The sequence below is a fragment of the Homo sapiens genome, chromosome 5, assembly GCF_000001405.40.
Source record: "Homo sapiens chromosome 5, GRCh38.p14 Primary Assembly".
NCBI classification, from domain to species: Eukaryota; Metazoa; Chordata; class Mammalia; order Primates; family Hominidae; genus Homo; species Homo sapiens.
The window spans coordinates 130,040,241-130,063,403 of NC_000005.10; the positions used below are offsets into that span (position 1 = coordinate 130,040,241).

The 23,163-nt window shown below is 35.5% G+C and overlaps 1 protein-coding gene across 6 annotated transcripts in view; it reads left to right on the top strand.

Annotated features, from left to right (window-relative positions):
* Positions 1–23,163, top strand: part of CHSY3 (chondroitin sulfate synthase 3) — a 282,656-nt gene that overhangs the window by 136,262 nt on the left and 123,231 nt on the right. For 2 of the 6 annotated variants that reach the window (XM_011543365.4, XM_017009435.3), the window contains exon 3: positions 11,844–11,931. The exons of 3 other annotated variants lie outside the window; for them this stretch is intronic. In XM_011543365.4, the coding sequence (XP_011541667.1) occupies positions 11,844–11,931 (88 nt within the window). Of the gene's footprint in view, positions 1–1,947; positions 11,932–23,163 lie in introns of those variants that run through there. One more of the 6 variants, XM_017009434.2, reaches the window with a different exon arrangement.

Genomic DNA, 23,163 nt, shown 5'->3' on the forward strand with positions numbered 1-23,163 from the left:
ATTTTCCTGGAAACACAAAGTAACTATCTTGTATTTAGAGTACACCACGTGAAGACAAATCACAGGGAATGCTGTCTTTGTCCAGCCGTGAGCTTCCAGAGTACCAATTTCATCAGGCTTGCAGAATACCAGTTTCAATTCTGAGTGACAAGGTGTCCATTCTAAAGTTTGCTCCCCGAAATTGTTCATACATGTAATAATATGTATTTGAGACAGTAAAAATGGTTAAACTGTCAAAACTGTCTTTCTTTGTCCATATTTAATTTTGAGGAGATGGCAAAGGCTCAGCACAGCCAAGAATTTACTCACTTAATGGCCTATGATAAATCCTTTCTGGCTTTAATGCTTTCAATATTATGTCATGTACAGCTGTAAATAATAACTTGCAACTATAGTCGTGGAAATCAGAAAGGTAAACAATTTGAAACTTCATGGGCACTCAAAATGAGCAAATTGTTAGGTTTCAGAGAAACTGATTCTTATGTCAAACACCTAAATGAACAGTTTGCAGCCTATCTATATTGACAGCATTTCTTGAGGAAAAAGGAAAAGCTGTTTTTTCAAGGCTCTTCCTAAACTCTTTCAGTGTCTATTCTATACTGATCCCTTTGTGAGGCCCCTATATGGTTCAATACAAAAAGTGGTCTACTTAATTTTCAGAAGAGAAAATACTGTTTAGTAAGCTCAAGCAGCAAAATTGCTTGGCTGTTTATTTAACAGAGGCAAATTAGTATTGATGAACAGATTTGATGAATAACAAGGATCCTACTTGTCCCAGCTGTTGGAGTGCAGCTCAGATCTGCACTTGTGCTGTCGATGCCCTTTAGCAAGCTGCTCTAAGTGTTGGCTGCTAACAGCTTGGAGCTCTTTCTCTGGAATATTGCCCTTGGTCCAACAGGAATTGTCTTACCCCCCAAAAAAGTTACATGCCCCTTACCCACCCAATGACTGACTGATAATGGGATGTGGAAGATGGTCTCTTTGTCCCAAAGTGGAATAAACTCTGCTGTGCAATTGGCATCCATTTCTCCCCAAGCAATCAGGCTGAAGCTAGACACCAGCTGAGACCACATTCTCCTGCAATGGTTTCCTGACACTCTGTTCCAAGAGAGTGCTAACTCAGTAAGACATGTGCACCTGAAGCTGCCTCTAGGCACTCCAGCCCAAAACAAATGTGAATGCTGCATTTCTACAATACTATTTTTACCCTATTACATTAGTAATATCAAATGTAAGAGGCATCAAGACACCAAAAGTGACCAGGAAGCCACACGTTACTTAGGTTACTTAGCACTAGTCAACATATAAACTGAGAAAACGATAAAAGCAATGGTTGTTTTCTCTAAAAGGGTATCCCAATTGTGTAAAGATAATATTTAGTGAAAGAGAAAGAGAGAAATAAGCAAAGAGAGAGAGTGACTATAAAATACTATAAAATGTTCAGGTCATTAAATTTTCCTTTTTTGATCATTTAAAAATATTGCTTAATTTTGAAACTTATGAGGCTACATTTTAACAGATATAAACAATGTAATAATGAGGATTAAATGCATAGTGATCACATTTGAAATGTTTAAAAATGTGAAAGTTTCTCTTAATACATATTTTAGTGATGTCTATGTCTTTATAAATTAGGAAACAGAGAGAAAGGGTAACAATGGTTGAAGTAATAAAAGCTTTCTACATAATTTTAAGGAAGTTTGGAATTTAAAAATCAGCCTGGTACAGTGGCTCACACCTGTAATCCCAGCATTTTGGGGGAGGTAGGAGGATCACTTGAGTGCAGGGGTTCAAGACCAGCCTGGGCAACATATTAAGACCTCATCTCTACAAAATCTGAAGAAAATTAGCTGGACATGGTGGCACATGCCTGTAGTCCCAGCTACTTGGGAGGCTGAGTTGGGAGGATCCCTTTAGCCCAGGAGTTCAAGGCTGCAGTGAGCTAAGATTATGCCACGGTACTCCAGCCTTGGGGGCAGAGTGAGACCCTGTCTCCAAATTTTTTTTTAAATCTCCTCTGTTACAGGATATCATTGCTACCTTCTAGCTTTTAATTTGCATATAAATTTATTATAGCATAGCAGCTCACTAATATGCATTTTCCCCCAAACAGTAATTATTCAGGCAAATCTTTAATTAGATCAAGGCAAAATAAATATTCATACATTCTAATTTTGAATTGTTGGAACCTTCTATTATAATTTTAAAATGATAAGTTCCCATTACAATATCAATTCCTTTGTCTATTGGTTTTAAAAAGACAAGCACATCATTTTATTTGATAGCAACCTGCACATATGAAACTATTTCAGTATTTGTTTTTTGTTAAAGTATAGAGCATTTATATTCTCAGTTTGTTAAAGGTACTCTATAAGATTTTTTTATTTTTTAACCATGGTGCATTAGAGATAAAATCAATTACTTTCTTAACATGTATAGAAATACATAACAATTACAGTTAGCAGGACAGTTATTACCTACCAAAGTGGTACATTATTCTTTTTAGTTTCTCACTCTTCATATAGGAAATAAACATTAATTCAGTGTTTTGTTTCCAACAGTACCCTAGAGCAGTTTCTGCTTGTTATCCTGGTACGTATTACCTAACCCTCATTAGTATAAACACAAAGATGTATTTGCAAAAGTAGTTTTATTTTCGAGTTCTTCAGTAGGGTCATGATAATAACTCACAGAATTCTACCACAAGAACTGGGATAGCAAAGTTGGGTCATAGGCAGTTAAGTAATTGGCCTCAGATAGTTATCCTAAAGCTGGAAATTTTTGCAAAGTTATTGTTGGTCCAAAGAAAAAGCTGAAACATTATCCTTAATTGTGATATAAATGTTAAACTCCATGTTAACAAGGAGCCCTTTGCCTTAAGACTGCCTCTACAAACTAGGTCAGAACACAAAAATCCCCCAAGTTAGAGATTACTTTTGTTGTTTTGTTGTTTGTTTGTTTTTTTTACTGTGCTAAATTGAAATTTATTGTCAAATACATAATTTTTAATAGATATTTTATCTTTTCATTTAAAATTAATAAATAGATATTTAATAAATATATATTGTTAAAGAGAAGTCACTTATTTGTCTAGACTATAATTTATAATATCAGGGGGATGATTCATCAGATATTTCCCTGAGAATAGATTTCAATTAAGGAATTAGAGATTGAGAAGGAGAGATTTGCATGAATTTGGATGTCTGGAGAGGGGAGAACTTAGAAAGTGGAGGTTACTTCAGATATTTGCCCTGTTTCACAGTCTTGTCCACGTGGGTCTGTTTGCATTCTGTTTTGGTGGACAGGAATAATGCAGCAGCATCTCTAAGCAGAGTGTTAGAACATTAGCCGTCCACAATCCTAAATGTAGGACATTGACGATACAATTATCCTTTGCAGTACTGTTGCCTTCTAGTATGGAACTAAGTCACATATAATGCTGGTTAGTCATTTATTATATTTGATGTCATGTAGCAGAATTAGTTTAAGAAATCATTGGAAAAACACCTGACGTGTGCATATGTTTTATAGTGTTTAAGGTTGTTCTAAAGATAATAGACAAAGACCAGTCTTTAACTTCATTGGAGAAAAAGGTTGACTTTTGGATTTAATTACAATTTAGTTCTAGATTCCAGATCAGATTTTTTTTATGTTGAAAAACACCATTTCACCATGCAAGGCCTCTATTGTCAGCTTTGTACTTCCATAGATTTGGCCATGCTGAGGTTAAAATGCATGTTAGACATCAATATGGAGATATCAGGCACACAGCCGAATGGAGTCTGAAGCTCAGAGAGAGATCAGAGTTGGAAATACATATGCTGAAATATGTAAATCTTCAGCAAATATAAAAGGCATTTAAAGGCCCAGGGTGAGATAAGTTTACTTGAAGAAGAAGGAATCTACTGAAAAATTTGAACAATTCAAGAATGATTATCTAGGAACTTCATTATTTGGAGGTCAAGTAGAGGAGAAAGAAGGAGTCACTAAGAAAGTAATATAAAAACCACTGGAGCATATTATCATGGAGACCAAGAGAGCGGAGTGTTTCAAGAAGGGGAGAGGAGGTCAGCTGCATCATCTGTGGCTAAAATATGATGGTAGAAGCATCATCATTGATTTTGATAACATGGGGTTTTGTAGGTGAATTTGGTGAGACTTTTCAGAAGTGTGGCAGATACACATCAGATTGGTGAGTACTGAAGCATGAGTGGTAGGAGAAACAGAGGAAAGCAGATGAAGTCAGTTTGGCTTTGAAACAGAAGAAAATAGTTGCTGGAGAGAATATGAAGTCAAAGAAATAAGTGACTCTAAAAGGGATGGTGGTGGGTAGCAGAAAAGTGGATTGGTCAGTGAAAGTCATTATGAAGTAGTAGAATTTTTAAATGTATTTGAGTCAATGAAAAGGATAGAGGAATATAGTCAGAGTGAGATATGTATTATAAAGAAGATGAAGGAGGCGGGATATTTTTCTAAGTGAATGTTAGGACTAGGGTATCATTATGGGAGTGGGAAGCTGTCAAGTAACGTAAGAAAAGCTTACTGGAGGCGACAAAGTCAAGGAATCAGATGTCGGCATATTGGGTGGGTCATTCCCCGGATGCTGATGTAACACAGAAGGATGACAGAGAAGATACTTCAATAGATCTTCAAGGATCTTCAATGAATGACCCAAGTTTTATAAATGACACTAGAGGAAAAAATGGCGGCTAGCATACTTGGATGGCATAAGTAGTTTTTTGTTTTTGTTTTGTTTTGTTTTGCTTTGAGACAGGGTCTCACTCTGTTGCCCATGCTGGAGTGCAGTGGCACGAACATGGCTTAAGTAGCAGCCTGGCCTCCTGTGCTCAAGAAATCCTCCCACCTCAGCCTCCCAAGTAGCTGAGAGTACAGACACACACCACCATGCCTGTCAGTTTGGGTTTTTAATAGAACTAAATGAATTACAAATGGGAAAAGTAGAGTGAAAACACTCATCTTCACCTCCTGGACCTGAGGTACACAGAGTGTAAAAGAAAATTTAAAAAGCACTCACTAGGGAGAGCTAGTAAAACAATGATGTGCTCAGGGTACATTCACACTTGAGTTATGGCAAGGGGAAGGACATATTTTTAAAAGACATTGAGGGTAGAGGAACATTTAGTGATCATAGACATGGGCTTCTGGCAGTAACAAAGTGTTTAGAATGGAGTGGAGATGTGAATGAGGGGATGCACACAGAACGCACAGGGGATGAAAGTCTGAGTCATAGTGAGTGTTATGATCCTGGAGGTCTGGTTGCTAGTGACACAAGGATGTGGGGCAAGATGAAACTAATCCCGAGAGCATCCTGAGCAGAAATAAGACTGATCAGTTCTGTCTGTGTGCCTGAAAAGTTATCTGATGTAGATTTGGTGCTCTCTATGGGAGTACGTGGGGATGCCATTGCCCTGGAACTACTGTTTCTGGTGAAGGATGCTGAAGCTTTGTGGATTCTTCTTCTAATTTGCCTCACTCTTGAGTCCTACCCAATCAGTACATTTTCGGAGATGGAAACTTTGTCAGTATTATATCAGCAAACATGAACACCTTGTGCTTGCTCAGAGTGGGTAAAAGCTCTCAACCTTGCCAAGATGTGCTTCAAACTTGATTGCTATGGTAATTTTCTTGTGCTTAATGACAGGGCAAGGAGTAAAGGGAAGAAATTTTCACTGAGTATCTAGATGTGCTGAACTCTGGAAACCCTTGCCTCATTTATTGTGGCTTCAATCTACTCTTCTGCTCATTTTGTAAGCAAGAGTCTCAACTCTAATGCTAGCAATACTTAACTGCAGGAAACGACTATTATAACTCATGTCATTATACCCACGTCTTGAAAACTACCATATTAAAGGGAAAAAGTACCGGCTCGGGGAGGCTACTTTATTAATATCACATTACATTTAAGTCAAAGTAATGCTGCTTTTGGAATTTAGATTTCTTGCATCCAAATCTTTTTGAAGGTTAGGAAGCCATGTAGCATACAAATGAAGGTGAACTACATTATCTATCGCCAAAGTTAGACTGATTTATAACCAAATACTATGTCTGTTATACTATTCTTTTAGTATACGTTAAAGTATAGAGTTAAAGCTTGAGGAGATGCTGAGAGGAATGTTATCATGAAAATAAAATCTGGCTAGTTATTAAGGTGCTTCAAAATTAAATTTTCACCATGGTTTGGGTTTGACCTTAAATTTGTAGGCTAATGGATTTCATCTTGTGATTATCTCAAATATCTGGTGAACAGCTACTTTGTGGGAAGCTGTACCTACAGAGACAGATTTATTGTTTAGTGGAGACAATATCAAATATCACATACTTGCTGACTTGAATGAGCTGACGATCTTGTAAAACATACAATCAATTGTCAATTAGAATGTGCTAATCATCGGCATTGGAACAACAGGGAAACTAAACGTGGGGGCAGGGTATAAGGGCTCTTAAATAAATGCATATCTAAGCACCAATAAATAATTTTTACAGATACCTTGCATAAAATCAGCATTTCAGTTTTTTTAAATTTACTATTAAAAATGCCTGTATAGAAAATCAGATTATTTTGTGATCTCTTAAATGGCAGCAAGTTAATTAAAAGTTCAGTGTATTCAATTGTCATCTTTTTGGAAGAGATTGGATTTTTAATTAATAAATTAACACATTAAATATAACTTTTCTTAATATAAATTGTTAAAATAAATTAAAATTTAAAATATGGTATTGTTTCTCCTATGCTGATGTAAATTTTCTTAATATAAATTGTTAAAATAAATTAATAAAAATTTAAAGTATGGTATTGTTTCTCCTATGCTGTTTCAGTGGGTACATTTATTTCCATGTCTTCTGTAAATATAAGAAAAATAAATAAAATTTAAAAGTATATTTGATAACTTGCAATATTTGATCCTGCAAAAGTCTTGGGAAAATAAAAATAAAAAGAGGAACTATTTTCTTCATATTCAATAATGTATTGAAATGACTTTAACTCAGCTCACCTTTTATCTGATATTGTTCCCTAAGATTTTAACTGCTTTTAGGAGTTGAAATGGCTCATTCATCCAACAAACCTTTCTTTTTCACCTACTGTATACAAAGTCCCACATGACCTCTCAATATGTTATCAAGATAAAGCAGACAGGGCACCCAGCCACAGAATCTTACAAATATACCTTACCAATTGCAAGTTAAATACTACATTGTAGGAAAGAATTGTCTTCTGAAATATTATAGGTTAGTAATTTATTGGCCATCCAGAAATGATCATGGTCCCTTATTTATCCAGAATTTTCCTGGACCAGATTTCTCCTCTATATAATAGGAAAAGTCTATTGGATGCAGTTCACTAGCTGAAGTGAATAAAGTTCAAATAATACATATTTCTTATATAATATGTTCTAAAATCCTCAATAACAACATACTGAACTCTTACTAATGCCAAAGCAAGAATAATATCTAATTCCATTTAAAGCATAGAAACCAGGAAATGGAGATCAATATATTTTAATCACTTTTTTCATTATGTAATCAAATCAAATACTATCATTGCATTATGTATATGCGAATATATGTTTTAACGAATTTTGTTAATTCAAATTTTAATATAACATTTCACCTTTTATAATTACTGAACAGAATTATTGTCAGGTTTTTGTTTGTGTTAACTTGTACATCTTAGGAGTATCAACCTTTTTTTTCCTTTTTTAAGTAAAAATAATGAATGGCTTTACCTATTTTGCACGCGTGGCTGTAAAAAAAGAAGTAAAGAAAAAGCAAGGAAAGAGGAAAAGTTTTAAAAAACGGGAAGGAAAAAGAGAAAATGAACAAATTAGTAGAACGAAGTACGGATTTAGTGTGTATATGTATGTGTATAGAGATGGGCTCTTCTGAGTTCTACTCTTCTGCCCAGTTGGATCTTAAGTCTAATCCTTATCATTATCATTAGTCCATGCAGGGTGGGCTTTTATGTGTTTAGTTTATTATTTTTACTATTGTGATAAGCATCCAAGAACCCTCCACATCCACAAAATAGTAGGACTTTTAAAATACATATATAAAATGAAATATATAGCTACTCCCTGAAATATATTCCTGCTCCTTGATGAGTTTTTCCAAATATTTTTAATTTCTTTTCCTTTTATTATTTTATAGTTTGAAACTATGATTTTCAGTGTATACCTTTGGAAAATATTCACTCTTTTTGTATAATTAATACAGCAGGTGCAGCTGTTTTCTTTTTCTGTCTCCTTAAATCTATGGAGTGCAGCTTGGAGTGGAGGAAGAATTTGATAGGGCAGAGCCCTGTCTCTGCAGATTTTTGAAGGTGCTCGTGTATTCAGTTAGGGAAGAAACAACTTCCAGATCTGTGCTAATTACTCTGCTCTCTCTCTCTCTGCCCCCTGCCTGCATCTTTCTCCACTTCTCTCTATATTTTTTCTTTTTCTTATTTATTCTTGTTATGTATCTTTTCTACAAGTTCTTCTCTTTCCCCAGTCATCTTCCAACTTGTGAGTGAGATGGGGAGGATAAATATTAAGAAAGCAGAGGGTAGAATGGTGATTACCAGAGGCTAGGGAGTTGAGTGGAATGGGGAGATGGTGGTCAAATAATACAAAATTTCAGTTAGACAGGAAGAATGAATTTTTTGTGATGCACAACATAGCGACTGTAGTTAATAGTGGTGTATTGTATATTTCAAAATTGCTAAGAGAGTAAATTTCAAATGTTGACACCACACACACAGACACACACGCACACACACACAGAATTCTGATGGTGAGTAAAACCTACTTTTCAATCCTCTTCTTCCCTTTCACAAAGTTGCAGCAAAAGGGATGGGATAGTGGTTACATAATTTACAACATTTATAATTTGGCTCTAAGTCATGAGTTATATTAATACATCTCTAAACTCTCACTTTAGAACTGATGTTGAATTTCTAAATAAAAGATAAAATATGACATTTATTTCATGAGAGTTGAGAATTTTGATTTTCATGATTGAAATTATCACACCAGGAAATTATCACACCAAGAAGATATTTTTAAAAATTCTTTCATTGACAAAAAGAAGAGCTTCTCTTTATGTCAGCTGGGAACATGCTTGCATAGTACAGGCTTCTCTTATGAAAGAAAATTTATTAAAGCTCTTTCCCCTTTTATTTTTCCCACAGATAGCTGGCACATGCCATAGAAAAGAACAAGAAGTCATTCTCAATGTTCTGTTACTTATTGCCCACCATATAAGCAGCTCCTCAAAATTAGGGACCCTAACTAGAATTTCAGGAAAAACCTTTAAATATCTTTTATTTGAAGCAGAGGCTGTCAACTACTCTAGTAACAAGATAAGCTCACTTAACTGGCAAAGTATGAAGATAAAATTATCCTACTAGGATGTGCTTTATAAATGTCATGATAAAATGCTCTTTGATGCACTAATTAATTGGTACATAATTGGGTAGTTTTGTTCCACAGTCAAGAATCAATTATAAAACGTTCCCTATATATCTCCCCATCTTTTTTTTTTTTTAATTTGAGATTGTCAATAACCACGCCTCTTCTTTAACAATTTAGGGACGGGAAGAAATGAGGCTCTTCTGCTTCATAAAGTTAGTACAATGGGAGAATAAGGGGATCACCATTTTGCTCTTTTCATGAGACAGCAAAATTTCTCTATGGTTTGTACTTCTTCGACTGCCTTGCCAAGCATTTTTAAAGTAGAATCTCATACCTTAAGACTGTTTTTTCAACACTTTAAAGACACCATGGAGAAACTTGTAGGTATGCCTGTAAGCTGTATCTCTTTAATATTTGAACACTAAGAATCAAAGTATTACTACTAAGCCACTTACTGTTGTAGGGCTTTGTTTACTACTCCACATAGGTGAATACACATCAAACTACAACAATGTATTTAAGTACTTTTCTTTTGACTAGTGCATTCTGTTCTGGTGTTATAAAAATCCTGGCAGTTGTATGTCAATTGTCTTCTATCTCACGTTAAAAGATTTTATGAGAATCACTCAAATTACCTTCCGTTCATTATCTTTACCTGTTCAAAAATAACTTAAATTTCATTTGTGGTATCTTTAAGCAATATGTTATTGATAAAGGGGTGCATTAGAAATGACATCATCTGGCAACTAGAACAAAGAGTGCTATGTCTACACAAAGAATACAAATTTATGGTTATGTCATGAAATCTGGTTTTGACCAGCTGCTCTTTTTAAATACCAAATTTTATAAAGAAATAATAATTTTGTCTAATATTGTACAACAATAGCTGGTTGTATATAGAATTTACTCTCTATGGAAGATTTAGTAAGCACTCATTTAGGAAGAAAACCTATGTTTTAAAACTTGAAACATGATATAATGAAAAGAACGTGGGCACTGCAATCACATAGAGTTGGGTTCAAGTTCTAGATAAGAACCTGTCTTAGCCATCAAGGAAATGAGAATTTTCACTAGGCCTATGTAAATGTACTCATCTTCAATATGGGTACTCATCTACGCATACATATGAGTCAGCTAGACTCAGCAAGGTTTGAGGAAAACCAGCCAGCAGAATTGTTACCACATTCAGCTACACATGAAACACGTTTATTTGTCTTTTTCACTATGGCATTGTTGCTATTAGCCATCAGTAAGTTAATGATTGTGTTAATTGTTATATACCCACCTTTGGGCTGTTAATGCAGCTATTACAAAAAATATGGTATATTTAAATGTACTATCATAAAAATATAAAATATATTCTTAAATGGAAAAAAGTTAAAAGCTATAAAGTATTATTTGATTTTTGTTAACAAAAGAAAAACATGTTTATAATTGCAAGTAAATCTTTAGTAAGACATAGGAACAATGTATACCAAACTCTTAACAATGGTCACCTCTGTGGAAGGGAGTGGATGGAGATGAGGATGTGGTGGAGGTGGGCGTGCATGGAGGGAAACGTCATATTATGTTGTGTGCAATTCTATATTGCTTGGATTTGTTTTTAGGGTAAAAATATATTCATTTGTTGCTTCTGTAAGTAAAATATAAAGAATATAATTGAAAATCACTATAGAACTTTTTTTTAAAGGAGCTAAAGTTCTTTAAAGACTGCCTATCTGTCTACCAGATCCACTAAATTTTGATTCTTTCTAGGCTCTTACTTTCTTAACCAAAGAAAAACATGTTTTTTAGACACAGTGGGCCTGCAGTGCTCACAATGTAATCAAGTTATTACACGCTAGGGAAGAAAACTCATACCACATGGTATATATGTAATAGAACCCCAAAGAATGACCTAGAAAATGATCATAGGATGTCATTAATACCTGGGGGATGGGACAGGGACATTTCCTGTGAGGAGGACAAGCTTCATTACTAGAGTGATAAGCCAGAATCAGACATTTGAGGAAAGGAAAAAAACTTATGGGAAAAAGATAGAGATAACATTTAAGGTGTATTCAGGGGACAGAGACCCGGGCAGATGAAATGCAAAACAAGTGAAACATTCTGGGAAAGATAAGGGGAGAAAAGCAAATTGTGGAAATTGTGAATGGACTTGTAAACCAGACGTTAGAATTTGAGTTGCCAGAGAAGGTGACAGGCATTTAAATTAGATGCAGTACATTGAGATGACAGAAAAATATTCAGTAGTAGAATTGGGAATGACAACTGTGTGCATTAAAATTCTTAAAAAAAAAAAAAAGAAACTCACCTCGAAAACAAAACTGGAATGTACTAAAATGATTAGGGTACAGCAAACCAAGAACTAAACTTTGCCCCTCTCTTGTTTCTCTGGGTGTATCTGCATCATTCTTTTCTTTCTCTCTGCAGATGAGCTTTCATGAACTCTCAGTCCACACTGCCATAGATGGTCATTCCCACAGCTCCTGCTCTGCATGGTGTAGCCCCATAGACAGAGGTACTGGACTCCCTGTCACCTAATCTCTCTCAGGGGGAGAGAGAAATCTAATTAGCCAATCTGGGCTCAAGAACCCATCCAATAATCTATAGTGAGGAGTAGTGAGCAGTTCATGGTGCAGTCATAACTCCTGGGAGTTCCCCCCACAGTGGGGGTGTGGTTCCCAGAGCAAGTGAGGGGAAGACTTGTGATCAGGTACCTTCTCTCTCTATTAACTATGTAACTATTAGCTACATAATTGCCATTGGGAAGATTTTACTTTTGGTATTATTATCCATAAAGATATTGATAAATATTTTGTGACAAAGCATTGGCCCCATGGCACTGCTCATGCCAGTTTACCATCAATAACAATTTTTTTTTATTTTGTGAACTTAAAATATTTATGAATGTCTTATTTTATGAACTGCTGTGAGAGAAAATAAGGGGGAATTTTATTCAAAGGGAAAACAGAGACATCTGTCTAATCAAGAAGTGCTGAAACCAAACTTGGGAAATATACTTTTTTTTCTATTCTGGTAAGGGAGCCTATGTCTTTTATCCAAGGCTTTTCACATCTTAATACCATTTAAATATTATAATCAGATAATATCCACAGGCGTTAATTTATCCTTTCTGCCTCTATTTTACAAATGAAAAGCTGAAGCATTTAAATTTTCTCAATGCTACATAAGACAGAAAAATGGACTCAGTAACTTTAAGTACTGGAATATGCTCCAGTACTAAAACAGGAATGCCCAGAAGAGACAGGAAGCTATAAACCATGTTAAGTAAACAATACAAAAACTTAATAATTATGAAATACAGCAAACAAGGAGTGAATTGGATAACAAGCCCATGATGAACTGTTGAGTCAGTTGTATAATTACAGATATTATAAGTTCAGAGGAAGGCAGTATCCTAAAGATTAGACATGGCTCAATAATTTATGTATTCCCAAATAGGAACACTTCTAAATTGAATAATTAAAGAAGAGTTTGTTTTAACAGGAGAAATAGCTGGTCTGTATAGAGTTAGTCTCCTGAAGGAGAAAAGAATCACATGATAGCTAAGTAAAACAAAAACTAGGATGTAATAGATTTTAAGTAACAAACAGAAAATATAGACAATGAGGGCAGAGTCAAAGTTAGGACCAAAATGAGTTTACTTTTAGTTAAAAGTAATAAGGAAGCAAGAACTATAATCAAGCAAAAGCTATATAGGGTGAAATGTAAGAATTAGTGAATTGGAGGTGGGAAGCCCAGGTAGGCAGATCTGTAGAAGGAATCTATAGAGTAGAAATGCATCCGTTAGTAATGATGGTCATTCCTCATGTTTCTGATTCTCAAATGCATACATACTCTCTCAGTTCCAGAACTATCCTTCAGTTCCTAATTGGGAGGCCAAGCTTATGATGTGTCTTGATTGCAGACTTGTATGTGATACCCTTATCTTTATTACGTCACATGTGTCTTACAGTGGCTCCAGTGCTGGCCTTAGTGAGTCTCTATTCTTTATAGCAGGGGAAGATAAAGTAGAACCATAGAACAAATATGGCCAGAAAAGGGAAGAGTTAAAGAAAGCATTGCATTAGGAGCCTGAGTGATTGGGAAAATATCAACATTAATGATAGAAATCATGAAAATAAAAGGGTATGTTTAGATGAGCTCACTTTTAGGTGTATTTTTCGTTATCTTAATTTTGAGGTGCTCAAAAATGAAATATAAATGCCTCATAAATCTGGAAAATTCATCATGAGATATCAAGATATGTTTATTTTACTCATTTTCCCAGCATTCATTAGAACTTCTAAATCCAAGAGCCTAAAACTTTCCTCAGTTTTAAGACATTTTGTTCCATGCTTGCTTTACATGTCCTTATGCTTTATTTTCTTATTCTTGGTTTCTGGAAAGCCTGTCGTCAAATATTGGAATCAGTCCTTCATATCCTTTGGCTTTACTTTCACGCTTTGTATCTCTTGGTATTTTTAATAGCTTCTGGGAGAATTCTGGCTCATTCTTCTAATTTGTTCTTTCGCTGTGCCCATTCTCTTATTCAGCTCATCTATTGAGATTTAAATGTCAGTGATCATTTTTGTCATTTTTCTGAAAATTAGTTGATTTTTATTATGGATATAGCCTCCTATTTCCCTGATGATATTAATCATACTTAATCTAAATTTTTGAGAAATTTCTTCTAACCTTGTTTTCAAATATATTAATATTTATTAGCTGCTTTTCATGGCATTGGCTTTCCTTAAATGTCTATATGCTCATCTTTAGAATCAGGATTCCTTGTTAGCTCAAGAAAAAGTCTAGTGAAGTAGTTAAGAAGATAAGGCCCAGAGCCCCATGGCCTCTGATGAAATTCCTGCACTACCATGTGCTGGCCCTGTGATATTAATATTCCCTAAGTTACCCTGTGACTAATGTGACTTCTCATTTCTGTGCCTCAGTTTCCTCACATATATAAACTCTTACTTCACAGGGTTTCATGGGAATTAAATTATTAACACATGCAGTGCTTTTGGAAGGAAACCTACCACTTAATGGATATTAGTTATTAATGTTATGAGAATAATGAAGTGTTTTAGTATTAATAAATACTAGCTTTTAATATTATATGACTACTGAAACATTTTATTGCATTCAGACTCCACTAGTTATGTGAGTGGTTAGGCTGTGTTGCTGAGCAGAGTTGGAGTGTACTAGTAGTTTGTCCTCTAGGTATGGAGGCTTTCTGATCCTACCTAATGTAGTCAGCCACCTGGGGAATTTACTACTCCAGCAGGGCTAGGTGGGGTCTGAGGATGGTGGTGGAAAATCATATCTCCTTCTCACTCCCTGGTCCAAGTGTATGTATGGAGGTGGAGGACTCCCTGGCTACTCCAATCTTGTATCACTACTCTTCACCCTGTGGGGAGTGTGTCTGGCTGTGGGTCTCTGTCTTCTGATACGTATAGGGATTTTTGATAGGAAAATGAAGTGCAGCATGTACTCTGATCCCCATCTTGAGGCAATTCTGAGTGTTTGTTTTGAATGTGACTTGCCTGATGTGATTCAACAAACAATTCTGTGTTTTTGACATGCCCTCCTTTCTGCCAATTATGTCTTAGAATTTGCCCCTTGTAAAAAAAAAAAAAAAAGTCGTTTTGAACTATGGATATGGAGGTCTACAAAAGTGTTATAAAGATAGCTTTTGTTTTTATTTCATAGTTTATGATACGTGGCTACAATAAGTAAATACATCCATTAATAACTAGTGTATAGATTTTTCCTGGTTTTCATTAATAAGTAGATTGTGAAACAAGAGTTGGAAACAAGTGGAAAATATTTTAAGTTCTTGGCTTTTTTGTACTGATGATATGTTAGAAGAGACATGGGAGTTTCTTCAGCTATTAGTTGAGCTGTCTTAATTAGTTTCATGGAATCAAATCATTTCATGATGGCTTTGAGGACATAAAATAAGATGACACATACACCCTAGTAGTATATATATGTCCTCTATACATCCCAAAGATTATTTTGAACAGGAGAACAACAGCAGCAGCAGCTGCTGCTGCTGCTGCTACCACTGCCACCGGAAGCACTGTGGTGGGAAGGGACTCAGTTTTCCAGGCGAAATGCCATTGAGTCCCGGACATTTTAACAAGATGATGTATTCAGTGTCTGAGCTCATGCAGGGCAGTGGCAGTGGCACCTTCATCCCTCTCCCTGCAGAATTGTCATTGTGGCTACTGGTCACCAATACCAAGGGACAACGTATGATAAAAAATGATGCTGGTAGAAAGATTTGGAGGGGGATAAGAATTGATGTTGATTCTCTTTCCCTTTTGATCACATAAGTATTAATGTTGCCTGAATCTGATGCATATTAAGATTCTCCTTTGTGGAAGAGGTAAATGCCTATAATGCTGTATCTAAGAATTGAAGCCAGTGTGACATGCCTTGAAAACCTCAAACTGTACTTTCTTTCCTATGTGCATCCTAACTTCTCCAGGTTGGATGCAGTTCATTGACCCAGAAGGTATCTGATGGCATGGAGTTGACATTTAAACAAACTTTCTGACTCAGGTGGTTCAAGAAAAAAGTTTTGGTTCATCAGAAAGAGAAGTTTGTTAAAAAAAAAAAAACTGGGCAGTTAATCTGACAGCTTCGTGTTCACTTTGATTTAAAATTTGCTTCTCTGTTGTTAAAATGTTAACATTCCATTTATTGTGGTTCCCATCTTTAGAATTTTTCTTTCTCTTTTGCTTAAAGAGCTTTGATAGAATTGCATTAGAATACTGTGGGCTGTTAAATATAGTCGTGATTTGTAAGAAAAGGAATTTCAAAATGAATCAAAGATGAATCTTCACTGATCTTAGAAAAGCAAAGGATACATGGAAGCTTGACTTTTCAGAATTGATCTTTTTGTTTTACAGCTTGTTTTCATTTCAATAAAAAAGACACTACTAAGTCTGCAAATACCTATCACAAAATCTTAAAGTAAATGTCATTTTTATTTATAGCATGCAGTGCACAGAGTAGTGTAGCTTAGTGATTTAGATCATGGATAAAATCCTGACTCAGTCCTTACTAGCTATGTGGTCTTGGGCAGGATTCTTAACTGTATTGGGACTCAATGTCCTCATATATAAAGTAGGAATAATAAGAGTATCTGTTTGATGGGGTTGTTAAGAGGACCATGTGAGTCAATACTCAGAAAGCACAAAGACTATATGCTACCTGGAAACAATATGTATATGTTTATTTTTAGCATTTCTTTCTTTTTTTTTTTTTTTTTTTTTTTTTGACAGAGTCTGGCTTTGTCACCCAGGCTGGAGTGCAGTGGCGTGATCTCGGCTCACTGCAAGCTCCTCCTCCCGGGTTCACGCCATTCTGCTGCCTCAGCCTCCTGAGTAGCTGGGACTACAGGCGCCCACCACCACTCCCAGCTAATTTTTTTGTATTTTTAGTAGAGAAGGGGTTTCACCATGTTAGCCAGGATGGTCTCGATCTCCTGACCTTGTGATCCACCCACCTCAGCCTCCCAAAGTGCTGGGATTACAGGCGTGAGCCACCGCACCCAGCCATATTTTTAGCATTTCTTTTTTTAAAAAACCACCTGAAATTATGGGGAAGCTTAAGTTATTGGACTATATAAAGTGAAATTGTTTCTGAAGCTGTTTGTAAACATATTTTGTGATTCTGACATCATGTGTAGTAAATTACTAAGAAAAAACTTCCCTAGTTATAATTAAGAACAATAATCATTCTCACTCTTATCACTGTTTTCTGAAACTAAAATATATTTCTTTCCTTTGTATAGCTCAGTATAAAAACTACAGAAAACTTAATGTGATGCTTTTAGAAGGAAAATCTTATCAATGATCCCATAATACTAATATTTGTCATTAATAACCTAGCACAGTTTATCTTACTGTTTGTAGCATTTTTATTCATTTTCAGAGCTGGTAGCAAAAATCACATTAAATTATATTGTTGGATGACAGTGCCTATTAATGTAAGTATAAAAGGACTAATGATGGACTCATCTATAATTTTTGGCTTGCTTTCTCCATACCTTCTCCAGTAGTAACTCTGTTGATGAAAACATTCGTACCAAGATGTTTACCCAATTTGTGAAATTCAATATGTGCCAAACTTAATTTTTCATCATTCATGCTCAGTTCTCAGACCTTTATCTGTTTCTCCCACCTCCTTTCAACCTTTCCCTTATACTGCCTATGTCAACACATACATGCACACAGAGAGAGAGAGAGAGAGAGAGAGACAGAGAGATACAGAGCACCTCTGTTCAACTTTCTTCTCAGATGTATCTTTGTTTCCTATTTCCCCAATCTCAAATATTTAGTTATATTTGAGTCATCATTTCTCTTTTTTTAAAAATTCAGAACACAGTGAAATTGTAATGAATCTTCCTTTAAAATCACTCTTCTTTCCTACCACTGCTGTCATGACTCTAGAGATAGCCTTCAGTGTCTGATTTTCTTCTTTCTGTATTGTCACTATACTTAACAACAATCTGTATTTGTTGGTCATATTGATTTTTATTATCAAATCTAGGTGCAAGGTACTCGTTGCTTTTGAAATGCTTCATTGACAAATTATCCTTTAAGTATGGGTAGGTGAAAAATGGACAAGGAAAGATGATATCATACAATATCATAAAATAATATAATAGAGAATAAATGGCCAGGCGTGGTGGCTCACACCTGTAATCCCAGCACTTTGGGAGGCTGAGGCAGGTGGATCACCTGAGGTCAGGGGTTCGAGACCAGCCTGGCTAACATGGTAAAACCCCATCTCTACTAAAAATACAGAATTAGTTGGGTGTGGTGGCATGTGCCTGTAATCCCAGCTACTTGGGGGGCTGAAGCAGGGGAATCACTTGAACCCTGAGGTGGAAGTTGCAGTGTGCCAAGATTGCACCATTGTACTCCAGCCTGGACTAAAAGAGTGAAACTTCGTCTCAAAAAGAAAAAAGAGGAAATATTTAGATTGATTGGTTAAAAGTATAAGGAACATATTAATTTTCTATTTTCAGCTATCAGTTTTCTGTGGCTGTCATATTACCACAAACTGGGTGCCTTAAAACAGCAGAAATATGTTCTCTTATTCTTCTGGAGGCCAGACGTCTGAAAGCAAGGTGTCAGCAGGGCTGTACTACCTCTGTGGCTCCAGGGGAGAATTCATTCTTTGCGTTTTCATCATTCTGGCTGTTGCCAGATTCCTTGACTTGTGTCCACCTCCCTTTGCTTTATCTTCAAGTGGCCTTCTTCTCTGTGTGTTTTTTATGAGACACTTGTCTTTGAATTTAGGGACTATGAAGGTTGATTTTTTGTATGGGTCAACTTGTCTATGGTGTTCAGTTGTTGGGTCAGACACTTGTCTAGATGTGTTTTGTGAAGGTACCTTAAAGATGTGATTAATATTTATGAGAAAGCAGATTATCTTCTGTAAAATGTGGATGGGCCTCATGCAATCAGCTGAGGCCTAAAGAGCAACAGCTGAGGTTTCTTGGAGAAAAAAGAATTTTGTCTCAAGACTGTAACATAAAAATCCTGTCTGAGTTTTCAGTCTGCTACCCTGACCTATAAATGTCAGACTTAGGACTGCAACATCAACTTTTACCTGAATTTCAAGCCTGCCAGCCTGCCGTGTGGATTTCAGACCAGCACTTAGAGTTGTGGGAACTAATTCCTTAAAACCAGTCTTTCTCTGTTCTCTCTCTACCTCTCTCTCTCTCTCTCTCGCTCTTCCTCTCTCTCTTTCTTCCCCCTCTCCTTCCCCCTCCCCCTCTCCCAATCTACCTCCTTATTTCCATCTTTTCCATTGTTCTATTTCACTAGAGAACCCTGACTAAAACAGGATCCAACTTGCATACTCTGGGATGATCTTAACTCAAAATTCTTAACTTGGTTACATCTGCAAAAACTCTTTATCTATCTGAAAAACCCTTTATCCATAAAATAAGAGTCCCAAGTTCCAGGGATTTGATATGAATAAATATCTTTGGGGTGGGTGGACATGTTTTAACCGACTACAACTACCCTATAATTAGGAATTCCTTATTCTGTCTCACTTGTACCACAGTACATTACCAAGTTTCAAAAGGTATCATATACTTTTCAAAAGAGTTATCAACATAAAATTAATTTTATTCACATCAGAAAATGAACATATATGCCAGATGAACTTTATGAGAGAAGACTATCTTAAGGTATAATAAAAATAGTATAGTTAATTATAACTTTAAATCCCATGCATAAAGCTATATTTATTAATAACATCTAGAATCTGAGCCACACTTTTAAAAAATGAAGTGAAGATGTACAAAAAAAAAACTGGTACCGGTCTTACTGAAACTATTCCAAAAAGTCAAGGAGGAGGAATTCCTCCCTAACTCCTTCTGGAAAACCTGTATTACTCTGCTACCAAAATCGGGCAAGAACACAACAAAAAGAGAAAACTACAAGGCAACATCCCTGATAACACAGATGCAAATCCTTAAGAAAATACTACCAAACTGAATCCAAAAGCACATCAAAAAGATAATGTACCACAATCAAGTGGGTTTTATTCTAGGATGCAAGGATGGTTCAACATCCACAAATCAATAAATGTGATTCATTGCATAAACAGCCGTACAAACAAAAACCATATGATCATTCCAATAGATGCAGAAAAGGCATTCGATAAAGTCCAACATTTCTTCATGATAAAAACCCTCAACAAACTATGCATAGACAGAGCATACCCCTAGATAACAAAGGCCACATACAACAAACCCACAGTTATCATACTGCATGGGGAAAAGTCGAAAGCCTTTTTTTCCAAGAACTGGAACGAGACAAGGATAGCTACTCTTAGCTCTTTCATTCAACATAGGACTGGAAGTCCTAGCCAGAGCAGTCAGGCAAGAGAAGGAAATAAAAGGCCTCCAAATTGAAAGAGAATAAGTGAAAGTATCTGTTTGCTTGTGACATGATTATACACCTAGAGAAGCTAAAGACTCCTCCAAAAGACTCCTAGACTTCATAAACACATTCAGTAAAGTTTCAGGATACAAAAATCAGTGTGCAGAAATCAGTAGCATTTCCATATACTGATAACATTCAAGTTGAGAGCAAAATCAAGAACTCAATCCCATTTACAATAGACACACACACACACAAATAAACACCTAGGAATACATTTAACCAAGGAGGTGACAGATCTCTAAAAGGAGAACAACAAACACTGATGAAAGAAATCATAGATAACACAAACAAAAAGAAAGACATCCCATGCTCAAGGATTAGATGAATCAATATCGTCAAAATGACCGTACTGCCTAAAGCAATCTATAGACTCAGTGAAATCCCTCTAAAATTTCAATATCATTTTTCATAGAAGTATAAAAAACTCCTAAAGTTCATATGGAACCAGAAAAGACCCTGAATAGCCAAAGCAATCCTAAGCAAAAAGAACAAACCTGGAGATCCCACACTGCCTGACTTCAAATTATACTACAAGGCCATAGCAACTAAAATAGCATGATACTGGTACAAAAATAGATACTTTGATCAATGGATCAGAATGGAGAACCCAGATACAAAGCCACATATTTACAACCAATTGACCTTTGACAAAGTTGACAAAAATAAACAGTGGGGAAAGGACACCTTATTCAATAAATGGTGCTAGAAAAATAGGCCAGCAATATGCAGAGGAATCTCTTTTATCTCTTCGCATATACAAAAATTAACTCAATATGAATTAGAGACTTAAACATAAGACCTGAAACTATAAAAGTCACAGAAGAAAATCTGGAAAAAATTCTTTTCGACATTGGCCTAGGCAAAGAATTTATGATGAAGACCCTAAAAGCAAATACAGCAAAAACAAAAGTAGACAAATGGGGCTTAATTAAACTAAAAGCTTCTGCACAGCAAAAGAAATAATCAACAGAATAAACAGAAAACCTGTAGAATAGGAGAAAATATTTGCAAGTTATACCTGTGACAAAAGACAAATGTCCAGAATTTATAAGGAACTCAGACAATGCAACAGGAAAAAGACAACCCCACTGAAAGCTGGGCAAAGGACATGAAGAGTCATTCCTCCAAAGAAGAAGTACAAGTAGACAAAAAACACATGAGACAATGTTCAACATTGCTGATCATCAGAGAAATGCAAACTAAAACCGCAATGAAATAGCATCTTACATGAGTCAAAATGGCTATTATTAAAAAGTCAAAAAAAAAACAGATATTGGCATGGATGCAGAGAAAAGAGAACACTTAGACATTGTTGGTAAGAATGTAAATTAGTTCAGCCTCTATGGAAAACAATATGAAGATTTATCAAAGAACTAAAAATAGCACAACCCAGCAACCGCCACTACTGGGTATCTACCCTAAGGAAAAGAAATCATTCTATCAAAAAGACCACTGTACTCATGTTCATTGCTGTCCTATTCACAATAGCAAAGTGATAGAACCAACCTAAGTGTCCATCAACAGTTGATTGGATAACGAAAATGTGGTATATATACACCATGGAATATTACATGGCCATTTTAATAAAGAGTGAAATAATTCCCTTTGCAGCAACATGTATGGAGTTGGAGGCCATTATCCTCAATGAACTAACCCAGAAACAGAAAACCAAATACAAAATATTTTCACTTATACATGGGAGCTAAACAGTGGGCACACATGGACATAAAGATGGAAATAATGGATACTGGGGACTCCAAAAGTGGAGAGGCTGAGAGGGTGGTGAGGGCTGAAAAATTGCCTGTCAGATAAAATGTTCACTATTTGGGTAATGGGTACTCTAGAAGCCTAATCTCTATCAGTACGCAATATACGCATGTAACAAGCAAGCACATGTACCCCCTGAATATAAAATATGATAATTTTTTTTGACTGAACTTGTTTTCGTACTTTAAGTTCTAAGGTACATGTGCATACCTATGTAATAATTTTTTTAAATGCAGTGAAATTAAAGTAATTTCAGAGGAAATTCATGTTTCTATAAACAAGAGACCTAATTTTTCAACATTAGGTCCAGAGGCTAATACAAACTATATTTGTTCTATTAATTTGCATATTTGCCAGAGTTTATGAAGTTTTTTTTTAGTAAATAACTTATTCAAGCTATTTATATATCAGACTGAAATAAATATCGAGCATATTTTAAGTTATATATTAACTCACAATTTTTTAAAGCATGTTCAAAAAAATATAGATTTTTTTTACACATGGGATTCAGTGCCCAAATGAAAAACAGACTTCCATTTAAAAGGAAATTTGCATTTGGTGGATAATAAATAGCTCCTGGATTTTGTTGAGTGTGGCTTCTTTTAGCATTCTTTTCTTTCTTGCATTTTAATATCTGTTAAGATTCAGCAGTAGAATTTGGTCTTCTATATTAAATGGCTATGTCTATTTTTTGATTTTTAAATTTATTTTCTTACCATTTTAAAACTGAAGATAAACTTTACAGTTTTTTATTGTATGCATGTAATCTAAGCAATAATTTTGTGAATATATGTCTACTCGCCTGAATCTCAATCAGGTATTTGATTTTGGGGGTGGGGAGAGTAGCTGAAAATGAAGAAAAAAATAAAGGACTCTCAGCATAAACAAATAAGCCTTTTGTCTTCAACTTTTGGAGCCCAACTTTCATTTATAGTTCTACACTGATTGTCATAAAGGTTCACAAAATTGGATGCATTTCAGTAGTGAAACTGTCACTGTAC